General features: G+C 49.7%; 1 protein-coding gene, 1 long non-coding RNA gene and 2 pseudogenes across 5 annotated transcripts in view; 1 reads left to right on the top strand and 3 right to left on the bottom strand.

Annotated features, from left to right (window-relative positions):
* LINC01106 (long intergenic non-protein coding RNA 1106) overlaps positions 1-4,732 on the bottom strand; it is a 9,428-nt gene extending 4,696 nt beyond the window's left edge. Inside the window, exon 1 of the long non-coding RNA NR_027244.1 lies at positions 4,511-4,732. This is a non-coding gene — a long non-coding RNA (long intergenic non-protein coding RNA 1106). The remainder of the gene's footprint in view (positions 1-4,510) is intronic.
* The window catches only part of LIMS4 (LIM zinc finger domain containing 4), a 113,949-nt gene that overhangs the window by 20,678 nt on the left and 70,847 nt on the right, over positions 1-22,424 (bottom strand). The window contains exons 10-12 of one of the 4 annotated variants that reach the window (XR_007068194.1): positions 10,956-11,040; positions 8,903-9,975; positions 7,529-7,593 (exon numbers count right to left, since the gene is read on the bottom strand). Coding sequence is in view for 3 of the 4 variants with exons in the window: in XM_017003103.3 (XP_016858592.1) it covers positions 9,946-9,975; positions 10,956-11,040 (115 nt within the window). In the remaining variant the exon portion in view is untranslated. The other 3 variants (XM_017003103.3, XM_017003104.3, XM_017003105.3) reach the window with 3 other exon arrangements.
* On the top strand, positions 3,239-5,239 carry ZBTB45P2 (zinc finger and BTB domain containing 45 pseudogene 2; annotated as a pseudogene).
* On the bottom strand, positions 6,609-7,632 carry GPAA1P2 (glycosylphosphatidylinositol anchor attachment 1 pseudogene 2; annotated as a pseudogene).

Raw genomic sequence — 22,424 nt, forward strand, 5'->3', positions numbered from 1 at the left:
TGAAGAATTCTAGGTCAACTGAATAAAAGACTAACTCAAATTAATGAAACACAGATCTAAACCCTCAATCAATTCCCAGACTTGAGCCAGTTCACAGGCCCACAACCCCTAAGTGAAGGGGAGGCTGGGTGATCTTGGGGAAGTACGCTGCTACATTGCCAAAAACTTACATAGTTAATCTTTTTCCCAGTCTTCCCCAAAGGGACCTACAGCCTTCTACCAGGATGACTGTGACTTAGAGAAAAGAAAATTCTCAGATATTTGGGGAATTCTGGACACTGGCTCTGATTTGACAGGAATTCCCAGAGACCAAAAACATCACTGTGGTCCACCAGAGTAGGGACTTATGGAGGTTAGCTGGTGGATGGAGTGTGAGCTCATGTCTGTTTCACAGTGGATCCAATGTGTCCCTGAACCCACCCTGTGGTTGGAATAGACACATACTCAGCAACTTTCAGCATCCCTACATTTGTTGTTTCACCTACGGACTGAGGACAAGTATGATAGGAAAACCCAGTTATGAGCCACTAGGACTGGTTTCACCTAGTAAAAGAGTAAACCAAAAGCAAGAGTGCATTGAGTGCTATGTAAATGCTCTCCAAAGGGTGGCCTTGGCAGAGAAGGATTTCAATAATCAAGCAGATAGGATGACCTGTTCTGTGGACACCACTCAGCCTCTTTCCCCAGCCACCCCTGTCATTGCTCAATGGGCTCATGAATACAGTGGCCATGGTGGCAGGGGTGGAGGTGATGCCTGGGCTCTGCAACATGGACTTCCACTCCCAAGGTAACCTGGCTGTGACTCTGAACCACCTCCATCATAGAAGAGGCAGTGTCTTGTTCTCACTGAAACAGACACTATGTATGAGAATTTCCCCTCCTACCCTCAATGTTCCTATCACCACTGATAAATTGTACTTCATAAAAATCACACTACTGTCTGGACTTACAGAGTGCCTTATCCACCTCATGGTCTCCCACACCAATTGGTTCTCATCATCACTATTACCCCTAGTGACACACCAGCAAAATTTTCATTTCCTGTCCCTCAATCTTATGCTCTGCTGGTCTAGAAGTCTTGGTCCCAAAAGGAGGAATGCATCCCCCACGATACAAAGAAATGATTCTACTGAACTGGAAGTTAAGATAGTCCCTGTCCACTCTGAGCTCCTCATGCCTCTGAATAGACAGGCAAAGAAGGGAGTTACCGTGCTGGCAGAGGTGGTTGATCCTGACTACCAAGGGTTAATTGCTTCTACTCCACAGAACTAAGAAATAATACTTCTGGAATACATGGGATCTCCTAGGGTGTCTTCAGTGCTACCTACTACCATGCCCTGTGATTAATTTAATGGAAAACTACAACAACCCAATTCGGGCACAGCTGCCAATGGCCCAATTCCTTCAGGAAGGAAAGTTTGGGTCATTGCCCCATATAAAGAATCAAGACCAACTGAGTTGCTTGCTGAAAGCTAAGGGAATACAGAATGCGTAGTAGAAGAGGGTAGTTATAGTTACTAACTAGGAACATGTGACCAGATACAAAAATGAGGACAGTAATTGTTGTGACTTTGACAAGGGAGACAAGGCAATTCAATGGGGAGTGAATAGTCTTTTCAAAAATGTCCTGGGACAGATTGATGTTCACATGTACAGACTGAAGTTAGTCCCCTCCCTCACACCATTTATAAAAGTTAACCCTAAATGGATCAAAGACCTAAATATAAAAGCCAAAAGTTTAGTACACGTAGGAGAAAATATGGGACTGAGGCTTTGTGACCTTGGGTTAGGCAATGATTTTATGGATATCATACCAAAACCACAAGTATAATAGAAAATATAGATAAGCTGTACTTTATAAAATTCACAAATATTCCTGTATCAAAGTAGACTTTCAAGAAAATGAAAAAATAATTACAATGTGAGATAAAATGTTTGCAAACCCTATATCTAAGAAGAGAATTGTATAAGAATATGTTTGGGCCGGGCGCGGTGGCTCACACCTTGTAATCCCAGCACTTTGGGAGAACAACGTGGGTGGATTACGAGGTCAGGAGATTGAGACCATCCTGGCCAACATGGTGAAACCCCGTCTCTACTAAAAATACAAAAATTAGCCGGGTGTGGTGGTGCATGCCTGTAGTCCCAGCTACTCAGGAGGCTGAGGCAGGAGAATCACTTAAACCCGTGACGCAGAGATTGCAGTGAGCCAAGATCGTGCCACTGCACTCCAGCCTGGCAACAGAGTAAGACTCCGTCTCAAAAAAAAAAAAAAAAAAAAAAAAAAAAAAAAAATATATATATATATATATATATATATATATATATATATATATATATATATATACATGTTTGAACATTCACAAGTCAATAGTAAAAAAGAAAATAACACGATTTTAAAATGGGGAGACAATCTGAATAGACATTTCTCCAAAGAAGATATACAAGCAGCCAATAAACATGAAAACATGCTCAATCTTATAACTCATTTAAACAATGCAAATCAAAACCAATGAGAAAGCACTCCACATCCATCAGGAAGGCAATAACTAGAGAGACAGATAACAATAAGTGTTTGTGAGAATGTGTGGAAACTGGACCCCTCGACATTGCTGGCAGGAATATAAAATGATGCTGTCCTTTGAAAAGCAGTCTGGCACTTTGTCAAAAAGTGAAACACGGGGTTGCCATATAATATAGCAATTGCACTCCTAGATCTGGAGAAATGAAATCATGTGAAAAGCTTGTATGTGAACGCTCAGAGCAGCATTATTTAGAACAGCCAAAACGTGGAAACGACCTAAATCCCATAAACTGCAGAAGAGATAGATAAAATACGGTGTAGGTAAGTAACAGAATAGAAGTCAAACATAAAAAGTAACAAGCTACTGATACATACCATGAACATAAATGAACCTTGCAAACTTTGATAGAAGCCAGTCACATAAGACCCAGTGTTGTGTGACTTCATTTATATGAATGGTCTAGAATAGGCAAATCCATAGACTGAAAGTGATTACGGATTTCCTAGGGCGGGGCAGATCAGGGAAATGGGCAGTGGCTGCTGATGGGTAGTAGTTTCTTCTGGAGTGATGAATGTTCTAAAACGATGGTGATGGATACACAACTCTGTGAATATATACAAACCCCTTGCATGGTACACTTGAAATAGATGGGCTGGATAGCATGTAAATTATATCTCAATAAAACTGTATAAAAATAAAGAGAAGCGCCCGGAAGTGCTGCCTTGGAGTCGGTGAGAAGGCGGCCACGGCCAGGCCTGGTGCCTGAAGAGGAGTCGGAGTCGGCGGCTGTAGAGGCTGTGCGCCACATACATCTGCAGAACTTCTCACGCTCTCTGCTTGAGACCCTCAATGGGCAGAAGCTGGGTGGGCACTTCTGCGACGTGACTGTGTGCATTCATGAAGCTTCGCTGCGTGCGCACCGCTGCGGGCTGGCAATCGGCTCGCCCTCCTTCCAAGACAAGCTGCTGCTCGGCCCCTCTGAGATCCGTGTGCCTTCGGTGGTGCCTGTGCAGACGGTGCGACAGCTAGTCGAGCTCCTGTACAGCGGTTCGCTCGTTGTGGCACAGAGTGAAGCCCCGCAGGTACTCATGGCTGCGTCGGTGCTTCGCATAGACAGTTATCGACGAATGCACGCAGATTATCGCACGCGCTCCTCTGCACCCGCGAGCACCTCTGCACCCGCGCCCCTGCCCACCCCTGTGCCCCCGCCACTCGCACCTGAGCAGCTGCGTCACCGCCTGCGCCACCTGCTGGCTGCGCACCCCCGGGGCACCCCGGTGCCGCGCACAGCGGTAAGCAGCGCCGGCCCGCGAGTTTGCAGCTGCCTGCGCCCCCGACACCTGCCAAAGCCGAGGGGCTTGGTGCCTACCCCTCACTGTCCGCGGCCCCTGACGACCGAGGTGACAACGATGACGAGGAAACTGACGATGAGACCGATGGCGAGGACGGCGAAGGTGGCGGCCCGGGAGAGAGCCAAGCACCTCCTTCCTTCCCAGACTGTGCTGCCGGCTTCCTCACTGCTGCTGCTGACAGCGCGTGCGAGGAGTTCCATGCACCCACTGGCCTCTCTGACTACAGTGGTGTGGGAGAGATTTTCTTCCGGGATCTGGGGCAGCTGAGGACGTATTTCCAGACAGCTATGTAACCGCTTGGCACGACAAGGATGGCGCTGTCCCCGAAGGCTGTCCCACCGAGACCCCTGTCCAGCCCGACTGCATACTGGCTGGACCCCGCCCGCCTGGCGTGAAGACCCCAGGGCCGCCTGTCGCACTCTTCCCCTTTCACTTGGGTGCTCCCGAACCACCCGCACCACCCCCTTCAGCACCATCCGTGCCAGCCCCTGCGCCCCCACCCGCCTTCTACCCCACACTCCAGCCCGAGGCAGCCCCCGGCACTCAGCTGCGGGAGGCCCCGGCTCCCTCTGCTGCTCCCACCACGGCCCCCTCAGGCACCACTGCTCGCACTCCTGGTGCCGAGCCACTTGCCTATGCGTGCGGCCACTGTTGCAAGACGTTCAGCTCAAGGAAAAACGACACCAAGCACATGTTCATCCACTCGGGGGAGAAGCCGCACCAGTGCGCCGTGTGATGGCGATCCTTCTCGCTGCGCTACTGCCGTTTCAAGCACATGGTCACGCACACCTGCGCGCACGCCTTCCAGTGCGCGGTCTACGCCAAGCCCTTCCCGCAGAAGAGTTCGCTCAATATGCACATGCGCACTCAGCGGCCAGAGCGCGCGCCCTTCCCCCGTCTACCGCAAGGTCTCCTCTCACTGGGCGCTGCTGGAGCACCACCTGGCTGCGCACCCCGCGCCCTGATGGGGCTGGGGCCTGGTCTCGCCCACTGTGGATCCGCAACCTCCCGCACAGGCGGCCACGCCTGCTTTCCCACCAGTAGGCCACGCTCCCTCCTGAGCGCAAGTCCTCTTTCTCCCTTCACCCCTTTCTCCATACGCCCAAGTCCGCCTTACTCCTCTCCTCCATGTACTTGAACCTTCCAGGTGGTGCTGGGCTGGGGCTGGGCCTGGGACTGGTTAGGGATCGGACCACCTCTGAGAACTAGACCATTTCCGGCCTAAACCAGGCGCTCAGGCCCTTGGACCCGGCCCAAGATTTGACTCCGGTTCTCGCCCCGCCCTCTTCTGGGGTTGGGGTGGGGACTGAGGCCGCTCTCCTGCTCCAGTGTCGGGCTGGGCAAGGTCCCTGGCTCCCTACCCAAGCCATCACTCCCTCATGGGGCTCCTAAGGAGGCTCAAGTGGACCCATCATATATGGGGGCTGGTCCTCGGGACCCTCACTCTAATAAAGGAGTGTAGGCCATGGTGCCTAAACAATAAATAAATAAATAGAAGCTCCAGTTCACAGCCCCCATGGGGCCTAAACAAACAAACAAACAAACAAATAAATAAAAGCTCTAGTTCATAGTCCCCTTATGTTAGGTGTAGTCCTATGACCAGCTTTTGCCAAAGGGAGGCAATGGACTAAGGTGAGCCACTTCCAGAGCTGGCCCACAAAAGCCTCCAATGCCTTTCTCACACTCTCCCCTTCTACCGATAGATGCAGGTGGGAGGAGGTCCCAGAGATGACGGAGGCACCTGATGGAAAGATTCTGGGTTCCTGCATGCCCACGCAGAGGAAAGCAGCCTCTACCCTGAACGCCCAGCCAGCAACTTCTGGTGGGCCCAAAATATAATGTGAAGTCAGTGAAATCTGGGGGAGTCATCTGATATTTCAGCACATGTAACTAATGTATCTGCTTAAAAACTTGGCCGGGGCCGGGCGCGGTGTCTCACGCCTGTAATCGCAGCAATTTGAGAGGCCAAAGCAGGCGGATCACTTGAGGTCAGGAGTTCAAGACAAGCTTGGCCAACATGGTGAAACCCCATCTCTACTAAAAATACAAAAAATTAGCCAGGTGGGGTGGTGGGTGCCCGTATTCCAAGCTACTCAGGAGGCTGAGGCAGGAGAATTGCTTAAGCCCAGGAGGCGGAGGTTGCAGTGACCCTCGATCGTGCCACTGCACTCCAGCCTGGGCAACAGAGTGAGACTCCATCTCAAAAGAAAAAAAGAAAAACACTTGACCGGGGGCAGTGGCCCACGCCTGTAATTCCAGCACTTCGGGAGGCTGAGAATGGTGGATCACCTGAGGTCAGGAGTTCGAGGCCAGCCTGGTCAACATGGCGAACCCCATCTCTACTGAAAATACAAAAATTAGCTGGGTGTGGTGGTGTACGCCTCTAATCCCAGCTACTCAGGAGGCTGAGACAGGAAAATCACTTGAACCTTGGAGGTGGAGGTTGCGGTGAGCTGAGATCGCACCACTGCACTCCAGCCTGGGCAACAAGAATGAAACTCCATCTCAAAAATAAATAAAATAAGTAAAAATTTAACCACACTGTTAGCTAAGTATTTTTTAGACATTTAAACCCATTTAAACCCAGCCATTTTGTCTCAGAAAATTTTGTTCCTATGCAATGTTTGATTTTGTGCTAAATAAAACATTTAAATCAGAATTATACCAATCTTTAAATCTTTTTGCTAACACAGTATTTTCCAGGGCATTTTTTTTTTCTATTTTTTTTTAAAGCAGCTGAAACAGGCACTTGTTTATTTCCCCAGAAGGAGGCAGAATGGGGTCCTTGGGGAGTCTCTGTCCCAGCCTGGTGCCCCGGACAGGCAGATCTCACTTCCAGAAGAGCACATTCCAGAAAAGTAGTCAGCAAGGGCAGAGGCCCAGGGACAGCAGTGGGAAGAGCAGGGCGCCTTAGGTGTGGTGCTCCAGCGCACCCTGGGCCAGTGCTGCCAGGAAGAGCTGCCAGCCCTTGGCCAGTGACAGTGGTGCCTCCTGCAGCTCCCGCCACAGGAATGGGCTGCCAAGGAGCGTGGCTGCTGGGCTTGTCAACACCAGCAGGGCAGCACAGAGGGTCCAGGGCCCAAAGGCTCGGCGAGCACAGCGGCAGCACCATAGTGGCGGCCAGCAGGAAGTCCAGTCAGAAGTTGGTGAGGGCGATGCAGCCCAGCTGCAGTATTAGGTAGATCAGGGCTACCAGCTTCAGAGCCATCCAGCCCCTGTCTGGGACCTGTGTGCTTACCATCCTGTGCTGGGGGAGCGGGGACACTAGGGTCAGGGACCCCCCTGAGCTCCTCAAGGCCCACTCCGGCCTCATGCAGCTGCATCCACAGTTGCAGAGCCTTGAAACCAAGGACCAGGAGCAAGAAGCTGGTGGCGGGCATGTAGAGGCCGATGGAGACGAAGCGGGACAGAGTGGGGAGCAGGTAGAGGAAGAACAGCTGGTGCGGGTGTTCCAGGAGGTGGTTGAGCTTGCAGAACATGCCCTCCAAAGCCTTGCCCGCTGCCACCAGGTCATACTTGTACTGGCGGAAGCTACTGATGCGACGCAGGGTTAGGGCCTCCACATGGTAGTGCAGGAAGAGGCCACGGGAAGCCTGCCACAAAATCATGAGCAGCAGTGTTTGCAGGCCCTGCAGCAGTTCGTCCAACAATGTCCAGTCCTGGGGCTGCAGCTTACCCTGAAGCGTGCACAGCAGGCCCACTTTCTGGCAGAAGGTCTGGAAGAGATTGAGCAGGTCAAGGTTGGGCAGCTGTCCATGGCAAATTTTATTCAGACATGTTAAAACCTTGATCCATTTTATAAAAATAAAGGATAGAAACCCAATTCTAACTCATCCACTTTATTTTTTATTTTTTTATACAGAGTCTTGCTCTGTCACCCAGGCTGGAGTGCAGTGGCATCATCTCGGCTCTCTGCAACCTCCACCTCCTGGGTTCAAGCCATTCTCCTGCCTCAGCCTCCTGAGTAGCTGGTATTACAGGCATGCCTCACCCATGCCTGGCTACTTTTTGTATGTTGGCCAGGTGGGTCTTGAACTCCTGGCCTCAAGTGATCCACCTGCCTCGGCCTGCCAAAGTGCTGGAATTACAGATGTGAGCCACCATGCCCAGCCTCTAGCTCATCGACTCTTATTTTTAATTCACCAAAACTATTTTATCAGGATTTTTTTTTATTTAAATGACTCTGTTTTGGGCCACATCAAAATTAACTGACTACAGATTCTGCTATCGTAAGTTTTCTTTAGGGATCAGTATTTCTTTAAGTCAACTTTTCAGGATCAAATTAAACACAACAAAATATTTTCCAAAATATTTTTCTTCCAACAATTTTTGGTCATCGTAAGTTGTATCACATATAGTTTTAACCGTTATCCATTTTGCGTGGATTATTTGTATTATTAATCTTCACTATGAGAATTGAAATATCTCTAGTCAAAATGGTGGGGTCAAACCATTCTACTTTTTTAGTTTAGAGATTTAAATTAGTCTTAGCTTTTAGGAACATGCTGCTTGCCTAGAAGTCTCCATAAACCCCTGTGCTGGCCTTGCCCCATTGATGAAACAGAAGAGGATTTTCTCAGAGCTCCTTACAAATTACAGTCAGGTGGAAGCCAACACATCACTTCCTATCATCCTGCTTAGGCACTGAAAGCAGCCTTCCTACTCACATATCCTGGCTGAGAGCCATGACTTTTTCTCTCTCTTCAATGAATACATACCAAGAAAAGAGAGTCTGTTTTAGACAAATAAATTCCCAATTTATCTAAGGGTAACTCAGTTCCTCCCCTTCATCTTGCAGTTCAGTGCAGGGAGACAACGCTGGTCTTCACCCGGGATTTTCATACTTCCCTGTTTCTTAAGAACAGAGGGCTCGGTTTTATCCTCGGCAACAACTTGCCAAGCGAAAAGGCTACCGCTCCTGACTAACCTACCTTGTAGCTAAGGTGACCAGAACAAGTCCAAGCTAACTGGGCATGAGCAGAGGCACTGTGAGGGGCTCGCAGAGGCTGTCTGCCTGGAACTCACACAGCTGAGCAGGTCTTGGTCCTTCCTTCTCTCCTCTTCCTATCTCTGAAGCACAGCCCTCTGGGGTCCAGAGACAGCATTGAGGACAGAAGTCAGCTACTGAGACTCTGGGACAGCAGGACAGGTGCTGGCTGATGGCTATGGGGACAGCCCGGGTCAGCATGGACAGCCACCTCCAGAGTTCTTTAACAGGAGAAAGAAAGCGCTCTCTCTTGTCTGTGCCACAACTGTTCTGAACTTTCTGCTGTGTGTAGACAAATCTAACCCCAGCTGAGGCACTCACTTTTCCCTGAATCTCTGTGAGCTGGGACCAGTCCTGCCCTTCCCTGGGACACACGCTCCTGCAAGAGGCAGGGGTGTAGGTGACCGGCATGACTGTAAAGATCTGGGGCTCTCGCCGGTCCCACATCCATGGCCACTTCTAATAGTCACAGAGGCTCAGTTTCCCCCTGGGGAACTACTCCCTTCCTCCAAGTCCATGTGGTTAAGTAAGGTTGGCTTACTTCCTGGTTGCAGGAGACAGGAACCGTGGGACACGCGCTGGAGGAACCACTGGTGCCATGCAATGTGCTGTGCAGTGTGGCTCTGGTGCACCTGCCGCCTGGGGCCCATGCAGACCGTGTGTGCATGTGTGGCCATGGGCATGAGGCCCAGGCATCTCCTTCAAGGTTCACGCATGCCCACTCATGTGGAGGCCCAAGGTTACCCCAGAGCACATCCCACTCACCCACCAGGTATGGAGGGAGCCAGACAGGTCCACACTGAGACTTCCATATGCAGTTCCAGTCCAACCCCTCATTAGACACTTGGGAAACCCAGGCCCAGAGAGAGGAGGGGCTGGCCCAGGACACAGGACATGGGCAGAGTCCAGTTACCATCTCCTAGGCCAGGGCTGAACCATATCCCATGGGGTTGCTTTGGGAATCGGAGCCCCTAAAATCCTGCAGACCCTGACTCACTTTTCCCAGGAGAGGCTGTTTCCTCTCAGCATCCCCAAAGGTGCATACCCACAGACACGCACAAGCTGACATCACAGGGGGTGACTAAGGGTAGGATGGGAGGAGAAGCAGATCCTGGGTAGGTAACAAAGGGAAAGAAGAAAGAGGCTGAGGCAGCTCTGCTACAGACAGCAGCATCCAGTCACCAGAACCATGACCAGGGCCCATAGCATGGGAAGGGGAGAGATGCAAAGAGGCCAGGCTGGGGGATCCCTAAGGTCCCCTGGGTCAGCCTGGTCTGGTACCACCTCCACGGCAGTCAGGGGAAAGCAGGGCCTGGGGTCCTGTGTCCACTGCTGTGGGCACCTTCAACCAGGATGAGCCCCCTAGACTGAAGGGGCTACAGGAAAGAAGACCTCAGTTTCCTTCCCTACATACTGAGGTGCTTGGCGTGGGTCACCCCAAGAGTCCCACAGGCTCAGAAAGCCTCCGTTGCCCCAGCTCTCCATAGGTGACCCACTGTGCTCCAAGGTTCTTAGAAAATGCTTTCTACCCCTGGAGTTCCTTCTGAGCAGAGAGAGGCAGGGTGGTTGATGCACTGAGACTTGGAGCAGCAGAGCATGGACCACGCATCCTGGACAAGGGCAAAGACCCCAGTGTGGGAGCCTCAGGTCCTCCTACTGTGGAAGTGGAGCCGGGGCCACCTCCCTGGATGTGGTGAGGAGGCCTTGGAAGTGTCTGGACCCCAGGCCAGTGCTGGCAGTAGGAATAAGAGGGTTTTCTGATATTTCTCTCAATCCTCTTGGATTTTTGCCCCCTGGGATGTGGGAGCGTGGATTTGCCTTGCAAGTTCTGTGTTGTGGTTTTCCTTCTTTGGATGCAGTGCAAGCTCTGGCCACCAGGGGGAGACATGTGCCCACTGTGTTCTGCGGGAGCACCTGAGCCAGGGAAGAGCCAGGGGTCATTCAGGCCATTCCCCTGCCTCCAACCTGACCTGCATTTCCTATTGTCAGCATCCATCTCCACAGTCCGAGCTGGTCCGTGGTAGGATGTGGGAGTGAGGGGCTCCAGATCCTCTCATTTACTCATTCAGTCTTGATACCCAAAGCACTTACCTTGTTCCAGGGCCTGAGTTCAGCTTGGGTGCTGCAGTGAAAAAGACAGATATGGTATGGTCCCTGCCCTCCAGGAGCGCACCATCTGGAGGGGGAGCGGGACCAAGCCACAAAACATATAAGTGGGGAAAGGAGCAAGTGCTGTGTCGAAGTAAAGCAACTGCTGCAGGGGAGGCTGGGGGCCACTTCATGGTGGGGGGATCTGAAAAGGCCTCCCTGAGGTGACAGTCATGCCATGAGCAGAATGACAAGGGGGAGCCAGCCCTGCAGGCATTTCCAGCACAGTGTGGGGAGGTGGAACTGTGCAGGGGCTCTAGGACAGACATTAGTTTGTCCAGAGAGGAGCTTAGAAAGGGGGACAGCGTGGCTGGAGGGAGCTGGGGGGAGAGCAGGGGAGGGAGGGAAGGGTGGAGCAGATCCTGGGCCAGGTCCACTGTATGATGGCCCCACTGCTGTGTGGAAACACTGCCCCACCCGTAACCGCCCGTAACAATGGGCGCTCACCCAGGCCCAGCCCAGCTCAACAGGGTGCTTCTACCACATGGTCTCTCAGGGGGCTGGACTGAGGTCTCCTCTGAGACTCAACTGGGGCAGGATCTACTTTCAAGTTCATTCATGGGGCTATTGGAAGGATTCCATGTGGACTGAAGGGCCAAGTTCCCCTCTGTTGTCCTCTCTGGGTCCTAAGCCACAGGAGCCTCCCCTTAGGGCAGCTCCTAACAGAGCAGCTGCTCCCCAGAGCCAGGGTTCAGAGAGAGGAAAGGAGAAAGAGAGGAGGGAGAGAGGGGAGAAGAGAGAGCTGAGAAGATCTGAGAAAATGTCAGCCATGGTTACTAACAACTAAAGCTTGGAGGAGATATCCCATCACTTTTGCCATATTCTGTGATTAGAACAGGGTCTAGTCCACACTCAAAGGGAGGGCGTTGCACAAGGATGTGTATCCCAGGGGTGTGGATCACGGGGAGCCATTAGTGAGGCTGCCTACTACATAGGCAAGAAAGGTACTTGGGTTTTAATGTGGATATAAAGAGAAGCCACTGGAAGGATTAACGGAGGAAGACAATATATGAAATCATTTAACTTCAACCCAGCATGGCCAGAAGGAGAATTGACATTTCCAAGTTCACATGGCAGCAATCCAGGCCTTCCACAGGAGCTGTGGGGAGGTGTTGTTGCACGGATGGAGATGTCATGGAGTAGGAGGCTGAGCAGTCAGCACGCCTGAGAAGCATTTGGGGTCCTCTTATCAGATAAATTTGGGATAAATCTGTTTTCTGACCTGAGTCTTACTTGCACAGCACATTGACTTTGCGAAAATTCATCACCTTGCATGTTTCATCTGTGCATTCTATTTTCTTTTCAATTTAATACCAGAAAATTAGAAAAAGACTTCTGGGAAATCTTTAAACCTCCAAACATGTGGTTTTACCCTCTATCTCTAAGGATGGGAGGGAAACTGTGCCAGTGTCTGGGTTGTAGGTGGAGTAAAGAAACTTGCAGTACCCCGTCTCTACTAAAAATACAAAAAAATTAGCCAGGCGCGGTGGCAGGCGCCTGTGGTCCCAGCTACTCGGGAGGCTGAGGCAGGAGAATGGCGTGAACCTGGGAGGCAGAGCTTGCAGTGAGCCAAGATCACGCCATTGCACTCCAGCCTGGGCGACAGAGTGAGTCCGTCTCAAAAAAAAAAAAAGAAAGAAAGAAAGAAACTTGCAGTAAAGTAAGTTTGATGAAAAACAGGTAGTCCCAGACCAGGATGGAAGGATCTAGGTGCTAGGAGGAGTAGGTCTGCCCCGATGGACCCAGAGCAGTTTCCTCCCCCAGCGCTGTGATGCGGGCCTGGAATTTAACACTCGTTTTGAGTGTTCTCTGGGCCCGTTGCTGAGGCAGCAGCACACTTTAGATGATGAGAAGGTGGCTTCTCCTGCATTTGGTGAGCCTGGGGCTTTGGAACCCTCTTCCATTATTTGTGTGAGGTGGACATCTTTTTCCTGTAATGCAACTGCATTCAGTGCATCCAGTCATCAATATGCAAGAAAGACAGAGACATCCATCTGATGAAGGAACCCTAAGCCCAGCCCACTAAAAGACTCTGACTCTTGGTTTCATTTGCTTTCTTTTCACTTTTCTAATCAATTATTGGCTTACAGAGACCCCCCCTAGGGTAGAAAGTCATAGGAGAGAGGAGAACATCAGTCTAGAGGAACTGGTTGGGCGGGGCAGGAGGTGGAGGGCAGACTGGGGCTTCTCCCCAGTCTCTCCTGGATTCCAGGCTAAAACCCTACACACTATGCTTTTGGGGCCATAGACTGGCTCCTGGCAGCCCAGGAGAGTATCCCGCAGCCCCTGTTCATCAGCTGCCTTCCCTTCCCAGGTGAATCTGCACCAGGCCTGTCATCTCCTCTATGGCCAGCCTAGTCCGAACTGCTTTTATGCACAACTCAATTCTAACACTTACTAAACAGAGTTAGTGCAGACCCCACAGGTTAAGGGCTCAGCTCCATAAGGCTGCCCTCACTTCAGACACCAATCACAAGCCCCAGGCCTCTCGTACTTCTGACTGGCCAGCTTTCAATGGAGGGTTTGCATAACCCCATCCCCAGGCTCCATGATTAGCTGGAATGATGCACAGAACTCAGGAAAGCACTCAGCTTCCTATCACTGGTTATTATAAGGGACACTACTCCAGAACAGCCAAGAGGAAGAGATGCACAGGGCACCGTGGCAGGGGGTGCACAGAGCTCCTATACCCTCTGGGCACAACACCCTCCCAGCACCTCCCTGTGGTCACCAACGTGGGAGCTCTCAGAACCCAGTTGCCTGGGGGCTTTATGGGGGTTCCATCATGTGGCATGATTTATTAAATCACTGGCCACTGGTGACTCACTCTATCTCCAGCCCTCTTCTCTCCCTGGGGGTGCAGAGGTCACACAGACTGTTTCAACCCTCTCATCATGTGTGTGGTCTTTCTGACCAGGGCCACCCTGAAGCTTCCTAGGAGCCTACCAAGAGTCACCTCAGAAAAAAAGAAGCTCCTGTCACCCCTACAGGTCTCAGAAAACTGCAAGGGCTTAAGAACTCTACTGCCAGGGACTGGGGACACAGACCAGTCACATGCTTATAATATCACAAAATCACACTGAGAGAGCAAGACTGAGCCTCTCGGAGACTCTGGGGAGACACTGATCAATCCCAGGATGGACGCACACTCAGCCCTCAGGGTCCGTGGGGGACTGATTCCAGATCCCCAAGGATACCAAAATCCACAGAGACTCAATCAAGTCTCTGATAGAAAATGGTGTAGTATTTGCATATGACCTGAACATATCCTCCTGTGTACTCTCAATCATCTCTAGATTCCTTATAACACCTAATATAGTGTCAATGCTATGTAAATAGTTGTTACGCTGTATTGCTTTTTTATTTTTATTTTTTTATATTTTTCACCTGTGATTGGTTGAACCCATGGACTGAATATATTGAGGACCACATGCAGAAAACTATTTTTACTTGAGTTTTGTAGAGGATGGAATAAATATTTCAATCACTTTACTATCACTATCAAAGACCACCAATCTTAAATCACCCTAGAAGGTCAGCATATTTGTTGATAATGGATGTTTGCTGCTTCCTTAGGAGGCAGCACCAATGTGCTGGCAGGAGGACAAACAAGGCATGAGTTTCAAAAGGTGAGGTTTCTCCAGGCGCAGTGGCTCAAATCTATAATCCCAGCACTTTGGGAGGCCGAGGCAGGAGGATCTTTTGAGCCCAAGAGTTTGAGACCAGCTTGGGCAACATAGCCAAACCCTGTCTCTACAAAAAATACAAAAATTAGCTGGGCATGGCAGTACAAGCCTATAGTCCCAGCTACTAGGGAGGCTGAGATGGGAGGATCACCTGAGCTGGGGAGGCGGAAGTTGAAGCAAGCCATGATCACACTACTGTACTCCAGCCTGGGTAAGAATGAGACTGTGTCTCAAATAAGTACATAAATAAAATTTAAAAATAAAAGGTGAGGTTTGCTGTCCAATGCTGGTCCCAGCCAAGTATGACCTTAGCATCTGCTTTCTGCAAAGTCCCAGGTCCCCACTTGCCAAGGACAACAGTTCCCAGAGTGACTGGCCTCAGAAAACAAGGTGTCTGAGGGGATGATCAGAGGAAGGAGCCTGGTGGAAATTGGACAGGGAAGGGCTCTGTCCATGAGGTGGCAGTCGCCCATAAGCTGTGGTGTGGGAGGAAGCATAGGGAACCTAGGTTGGTGCTGGAGATAGCATTTCCTGGTCCTGACTTGGAGGAGTTGTTAACCCCAACATTCCTGACTCCTCCTTTGAGGAGGCTCCTGGCCTGCAAATCTCACGGGGTTATTGTGAGGGTCACCTGGGATGATGGGTTTGGATGCACTTTGTGAATGACACAGTGGGCCTTCCTCTTTCTGTCACTGGCCCTTTGACCTTGAATATGAATTGCCGGGGATCTCCAAGTCTCAATGTCTAAATGTCTAAGCCTGACAGGGTATGAGCTGCTGCAATGGAACATTCTACAGTGCCTCCTGGAAGATTCCCTGCTTCTGTCTGCACCTGACATAGCCCCTACTCCTGTTCCCCAGCCCGGAGAGCTTGCCCAAGGGGCACCCGGGTGGTACTGGGCCTACCTTCTCTTTGGAAAAGGTGATGACTTCCTCATTTCAGCTCTCCATCTTCCTAGCTTGCCCCATGGAATTCCAGGGCTCTGGCACAGCATTTGCTGGACATGAGAGGGAGAAAATCTAGGGCAGGGATCTGCCCTGGGGTGGGGGTGAAGGAGTATCCTGGAAACTGGGTGTCAGGAGGGTGAGTCCCACCCAGCTGGCCAGCGCCCTGTCCCCATGACACTGCTGGGTGCACATCAGTCCTCCTATCTCCCGCACAAGCTCCCTTCCAAGGGTCGCTTTCCAGAGTGGCTACAGCGCGGTCCATGCTGTCATGGGTGATGGAACAGCCCTGGAGGCCAACATACTGCTGTGTGGGGAGCCAGGGAAGACACTTCTCTTTCCCATCACCTTTGAGGTCCAATGAGCCATCATGTCCCTGATCTCCTCACCCAGGGCCTGCACCCTCCCACCGACCTGTGCAGGGCCCAGGCCACCTGACATCGGAGCTGCCATGGGCAAAGAGCTATAAAACCAGAGGCACATACCAGCGTCCTAAAGAGACATGCACTACTGACAGACCACAGGGTGGGGCAGCCTTGTGCATGGATAGCCTTACTTGCCTCCCCCTTCAACCCACATGCTTCAGATGGATGAGGGCGTAGCTAGAGAGCACAGGTAAGGCAGGGCTGATGGGTTGGGACCCATCCATCTCAGCCTCTGCCACCAGGCACCCCTGGCACAGAGAACCTTTTAACACTGCGTCCGTTTACTGTCACTTTGAATTGTCACAGCCCCACAGAGACCAGCCCATAGCTGGACACACCCTATCTCCCTAAAATAACCAGTTCAAGAGCACCAGACAGTGGAAGTGCTCGTGTCCCAAGGGCTTCCTGCGGGCCTTCAGCAGGACAAGGTTGTGGCCACTAGTCCTAGGAGCACAGTGCCCTGAGCCTAGGCAAAGCAAGCAGGCATTACTCATCTAAAACAGCATCAGGAAAGACACCGAGAAACCAGGACGACTTGATTTTGTATTTGTGCAGCAGCAAACTCTTGAGGGACGCTAGAGGTAGTAGATGTGTCTGTGTGACTCCCAAATATACAGCAGGAGCCGATTTGGCAGAGAGACCCCTTGCCAATGCCATGTTCAGAGTGGAGGTCGACTTGAGAGCCACTGATCTGAGCAGCATGAAGTCCCCTGACATTAGCAGCATGAAGTCCCCTGACTTCAGCCACTTAGGTGTGGATTGCTGAGGGTTCAGGGCAGACAGTGTTTGAGTTCGGGCTGGGCCCACCTGTTTTCCCTCCAAGTGGCATCACCAGGTCCAGTGGGGAAAACACTGTTGTGGGTCTACATTGATTTACCTATACTGCTCAGAGAAGCTTCCTGTGGGCTTCCATAAACTGGCTTGGGTTGGTTATTACTGGCTGCAGCAGCAATTGATTGCTCTTCCTGTACCTTGTTACCCTGGAGATGAAAATCCAGACTTGATGGGGAGAAAAGAGAAAATCTCCATCAGGAGAATCAAGTGGTCTGTTCTCCTCCTCCACTGCCATTGTCATAAAGCATGGGGTTGGCTGTGGGGTCATTTGGAGTGCAGCGGTCCAAGTATCAGGAGCAGCGTACTCTCAAAAAGACTCACGGATGTGACCAAAACTGCAGCCTCCAAGGGTTTTGAGGCCTGCAGGCTGGGAGTTCTTGGCCTAGAGCATTTCACCCCTCTCTTCATTGCTTTCCTGGATGTTCCCAGGGGTCAATCTGGGCTGTTTTTGAGGTGGGATAAAGATTTAAATTGACTCGGGGAGGAGGGAAGTTATCTAAGGGTATAAACACAATATGGTTTTTTTTTATTTTTTTCTTTTGTAACAAGATTTTTAAAAAATCTCTTATTTAACTGAGAGTCATACTTTTGTCTATTATAGTAGCTAATTTACTATTATGATAGATAATAGAATTGGGTAAATAACAAGTTCTGTTCATCACTACAAAACACACACACACACACACACAGTATGTGAAAATGCTTCCTATAATTGCTGTACACCATGGCCAGAAAGACAGACTTGAAGATGTAGGTATTAATGATAATGTAGATTATAAAGTACAAAGAATACCACCAGTTGAAGTCATAGACAGGCATGCTAGAAGAAAATAATCATGTTTCATGGTTTTCCATACCCTAGTTCCACAATGCATATAAGGCTGACCTTAGGCAAAATCCCACATGCACAGTCCATGTGCACGAGGCACCAGAAAGCCTCCTGTAACATTCGCTCTCCCCCATAGGGTGTGATGGGGCCTCAGAGCCATCACCATCCCTAATGCTGAACAGCTTGCTTCACACCTGCCCTTCTGAAATTCTTAGTACCTTACAGAGGCACCAATTTTCACAGTGGCAGGACCTTAGTGATCTCCCAATTCAGTTTTCTCCCTCCACAATGAGAAAATTGAGGCCTAGAAAGGACAGTGACTTGCTAGGAATTACAAAGAGAATAAGAAGCATGGCTGGGAAGAGGGCTGTGCACTGCAAAGTCAGGTAATCCTTGCTGTGTGGAACACCCAACTGCCTTGGCTGGGGCCAGATCATATTCTAACCACCCAGGGGACGATGCATGAAAGGTACCCGGTGATAACTGTGGAAGGGCAAGTTGTGACAGGTGCTCACTCTACCTTTAATGGAAACTTAATTTCCTACAGGAGGGGACGTCAAGGGGTGCTGGCTAGGCTGTCAGCCAGGGGTCTGAGGAAAGACCCAAGAGAACATAAGCAGGGCCAGGGCCAAGGCCAGGCCCAAGAGTGAGCAACAACCAAGAACAAGTTGATCTGATGAACCTACACATCACAAGATGACAGAAAACCTGCCTCTCTGAGGTCACTATTGGAGCAGATGTGGACTGACGTTTGCAGTGAGGCTCTGCCCACTCTCTAGAGCTGGAGAGCTAGCTACTCTGTGCAGTACCACTTAATAACTTTACCCTTATGCATGAGGTAAATCCATAACAAGAAGTCATTCCATGAGGTTTTTCTCCTAAGTAATTTCCACACGTGTGGAGAATTGGCATTTTGCAAGCAAGGTGGCAATTACTGTTGGGAAAAAGCTGAGTGTTGGGAGAAGCTGAGGCAGGGCTTGCAAGTCTGACATAAGGTAAAAGAGTCTTGGAACATGTCTGGGGTCCAGGGTCTAAAACCCCTTGTGGCCTTTGGAACACCAAGCTCTGTGCTAAAGGGTGGAAGGCTACCCTGATGCACCATAATCTAAGCCCAGGGCATAAAACCCCTCGTGACTTGGATAGAATCCAGGGCTCGTGGCTCTGGAACGTGTCTACACTTGCTGGCTCCATGCTCCTTGCTCTCCCAGGATCGACTGTATCTTGAGTTAAAAGAACATGCTCTCCATTATCTCAAGTAGCAGAGCAAATGCTAAACCATCACAGGTGTAAATCATGTGCTTAATGCAATGCGCCCTTTCAACCTCCACATTCTCACCACCTGTTTCTTTGCTGGATTACCAATAAATAGCACTGGGCTCCCAGAGCTTGGGGCCTTTGCAGCCTCCATGATTGCGATGGCCCCTTGGTCCCACTTCTGTCTCTCAAACTGTCTTTTCTCAATCCTTTGACTCCGCCGGACTTTGTCACCCCCACAACCTGGTGTTGGGTCTGATCACCCCAACAATTAGTGATGTTTACATTTATTTCCTGTTTGATGTAGCCAAAAAACTGCATCAATGCTTAGGAGAACCAGACATGATTCCTTTACAAAGATGGCTTATGTCTTTAAATTCAAGACTCAAAGAAGATTCCAGAATAGAAAGTGGGCTCAAATATTAAGAATTGTATCTCAAGAGATGTCTCCTGTTCCTTTCCATTTTGAAAGAATTCATTTAAATTTAGTGTTAAGTAGAGAGGATAGGCTACTAGTGCTGTAAAATTTTATATTCTTCAAAACTTTTACAGTGAATAGGACTAAACAGAAAATCACTCTTTGTCCTCTCACAGCCCTACTAGAGTCAGGAGACAGCCGCTTTGAATAGTGTGAATTCTGTTATGGTAAAAGATGTTCATGAACACGGATCAAGGATGCGCGGACATGATGTCAGGGCTGTTCGCTGTAGTGACCAGCACGTAGAGCTCAAATGCTATCTCCAGAATGTTTTCAAACTAAGGCGATCCCTCTGCTGTTTTCAGACCACTAAAGAGGAACCAAAAACATAAAGTGAAAACCACACACGTAAATTAATACACTGATACACTTTTTCCCTTTCAAGAGCACTCCTGCAGTGTTTGAACATGGAAGATTGTGTTTGGTGACAGATTGTGCCGCCAACAGGCTCAACCTAAATATGGGAGAATTCCCAGGCAGAAACTTCCAGAGAAGTGTGCTCATCGATTCCCAAAAAGCTTCAAGGCCATCAGGCAGAACATCAGCACACTGAACATGAACAATAGAAGACATAGAGGATATTGGGCAGGGTGTTCTGGAGGCTTTGGAAAGCCCTGCAGATCTATGGAGACAAAATGTTACTTTACTTACAAGAAACCAGCTAACTTTCGGCAAAAACAAACCATCACGTATCCTAAATCATATGCTTACCTGACGACTTTCAGGGAAGTTAATTAGGAAGACCGGCCTTAAGGCCCTTGACCATCTGATGCTGTGGATGTTAATAGCTTCCAGGGACCCACAGATAATCAGATCGATCAAGGTCAGCTGTGAGAGACACAGGCCAGAGATGTCAGTATTACACTGTCCAAGGACAGTGGATGGGTGTTCACCAACCCAGGAGAGGTACAATGTTATGTGAAAAAGCACGTTTCATAGACAGCATAGTACCACTTTTGTAATACGACATTAATAATAACTAATGTTTGACGTTTTACTGTGTTCCATGTACTATAACAAGCACCTCTTGTAGATGATTTTAGACTCACCACACCAATTAGGTGGGCACTATTCCTGGAGGAGGAGCTTGAGGCACAGAGAGGGTAAGCATGTAGCCCCTGATCACACAGCTATCCAGGGCAGAGCTGGGACTGGAACCCAGACAGTCTGAGGGCTCAGCCCTTGCTATTAATCACACTGGGACATCCTTCCACACTACACCCTATTGACCTCTTCAATTTGACATGTAAAAGAAAGGAGGTGTAGCCTAGTAACAGAGATGAGAATATCTAGAATACAGACAACCCCTATTAATCTTTATTAATGTCAGGTTTATGGGCAAGAGATTAAGGTGAAGATGGCCAAAAGAAGAACCTAGTGTATTTTAGAAAAATATAAGTAGAAAAGAACAATGTACCATCATCAAAAAAACTTGAATTTAGCCCCTTTGGTGGTAAGGCACAGAGGATCTAGTGAGCTCCTTCCCCTCAAAGGGCACGCCGCACGGGACGGGTGTAGGGTCCAGCCCTACACGGTCTGTGGATTTTTCTCCTCGTGTGCAGAGATGAGAGATCGTAGAAATAAAGACACAAGACAAAGAGAAGAAAAGACAGCTGGGCCCGGGAGACCACTACCACCTAGACGCGGAGACCTATAGTGGCCCCAAATACCTGGCTGTGTTGGTATTTACTGGACACAAGGCAAAAGGGGCAGGGTAAGGAGTGTGAGTGATCTCCAATGATTGATAAGGTCACATGAGTCACGTGTCCACCGGACAGGGGGCCCTCCCTGTTTGGCAGTAAGGCAGAGAGAGAGGACAGCTTATGCCATTATTTCTTCTATGCATTTCAAAGACTTTTAGTACTTTCACTAATTCTGCTACTGCTATCTAGAAGGCAGAGCCAGGTGTACAGGGTGGAACATGAAAGTGGACCAGGAGCGTGACCGCTGAAGCACAGCATCACAGGGAGACGTTCCGGGCTCCAGATGGCTGTGGGCGGGGCTGACTGGTGTCAGGCCTTCCACAAGAGGTGGTACAGCAGTCTTCTCTAACTCCCCCAAGGAAAGGGAGACTCCATAGTGCCTTCCATTGGCACTGACGCTACCGCTAGACCGAGGTCCGCTACGTAAGGGGCGTCTTCCCAGGTGCTGGCGTTACCGCTAGACTAGGGAGCCCTCTAGTGGCCTTTTCCAGGCGTAACAGAGGGCTCACGCTCTTGTCTTCCAGTCACTTCTCACCGTGTCCCTTCAGCTCCTATCTCTGTATGGCCTGGTTTTTCCTAAGTTATAATTGTAGAACAAAGATTATTATAATATTGGAATAAAGAGTAATGTTAACAAACTAATGATTAATGATATTCATATATAATCATATCTATAATCTATTTCTAGTATAACTATTCTTATTCTGTATATTTTCTTTATTATACTGGAACAGTTTTTGCCTTCAGTCTCTTGCCTTGGCACCTGAGTGGCTTGCCGCCCACAGGCGGGGGAAACAGCTAAGAAATGAGGCTGGTTCACAACTGCCGCACTGGAGGAAACCAGTGTGGCTGTCCCAGGGGAGCGAGGACAGGTGGATCACCAAGGGTTAAGATATTTGAGGGGCTTCATGGAGGAGGCACTCTTTGATGTAACCTACAGCACAGCAGAGCTTTAATAAAAACTCAGGAAGGTCAAGAGCTAGACAAGAAGATAGAATAAAAGGACTCTTGAGGAAGTACTGGGCTGGCATGTTGGGAAGCAGAGGGTCCTGGGAGTGGCGGCAAAGGGAAGCAGCAGAAAGTGATAAGGACCTATGGAAGGTGGCTTTGCAGGCCAGGCTAAAAAGGCAGGTCTCATTCCCAGGGCCTTTCAAATAACAGATGGAGCAAAGGAGTGAGAGGACAGCACAGGAGGCTGCATGAATATATCACATTCTACTTAAGACATATGTCTTATAATTTTTGTCTGGAAATCAGGT

The sequence above is a fragment of the Homo sapiens genome, chromosome 2, assembly GCF_000001405.40.
Source record: "Homo sapiens chromosome 2, GRCh38.p14 Primary Assembly".
NCBI classification, from domain to species: Eukaryota; Metazoa; Chordata; class Mammalia; order Primates; family Hominidae; genus Homo; species Homo sapiens.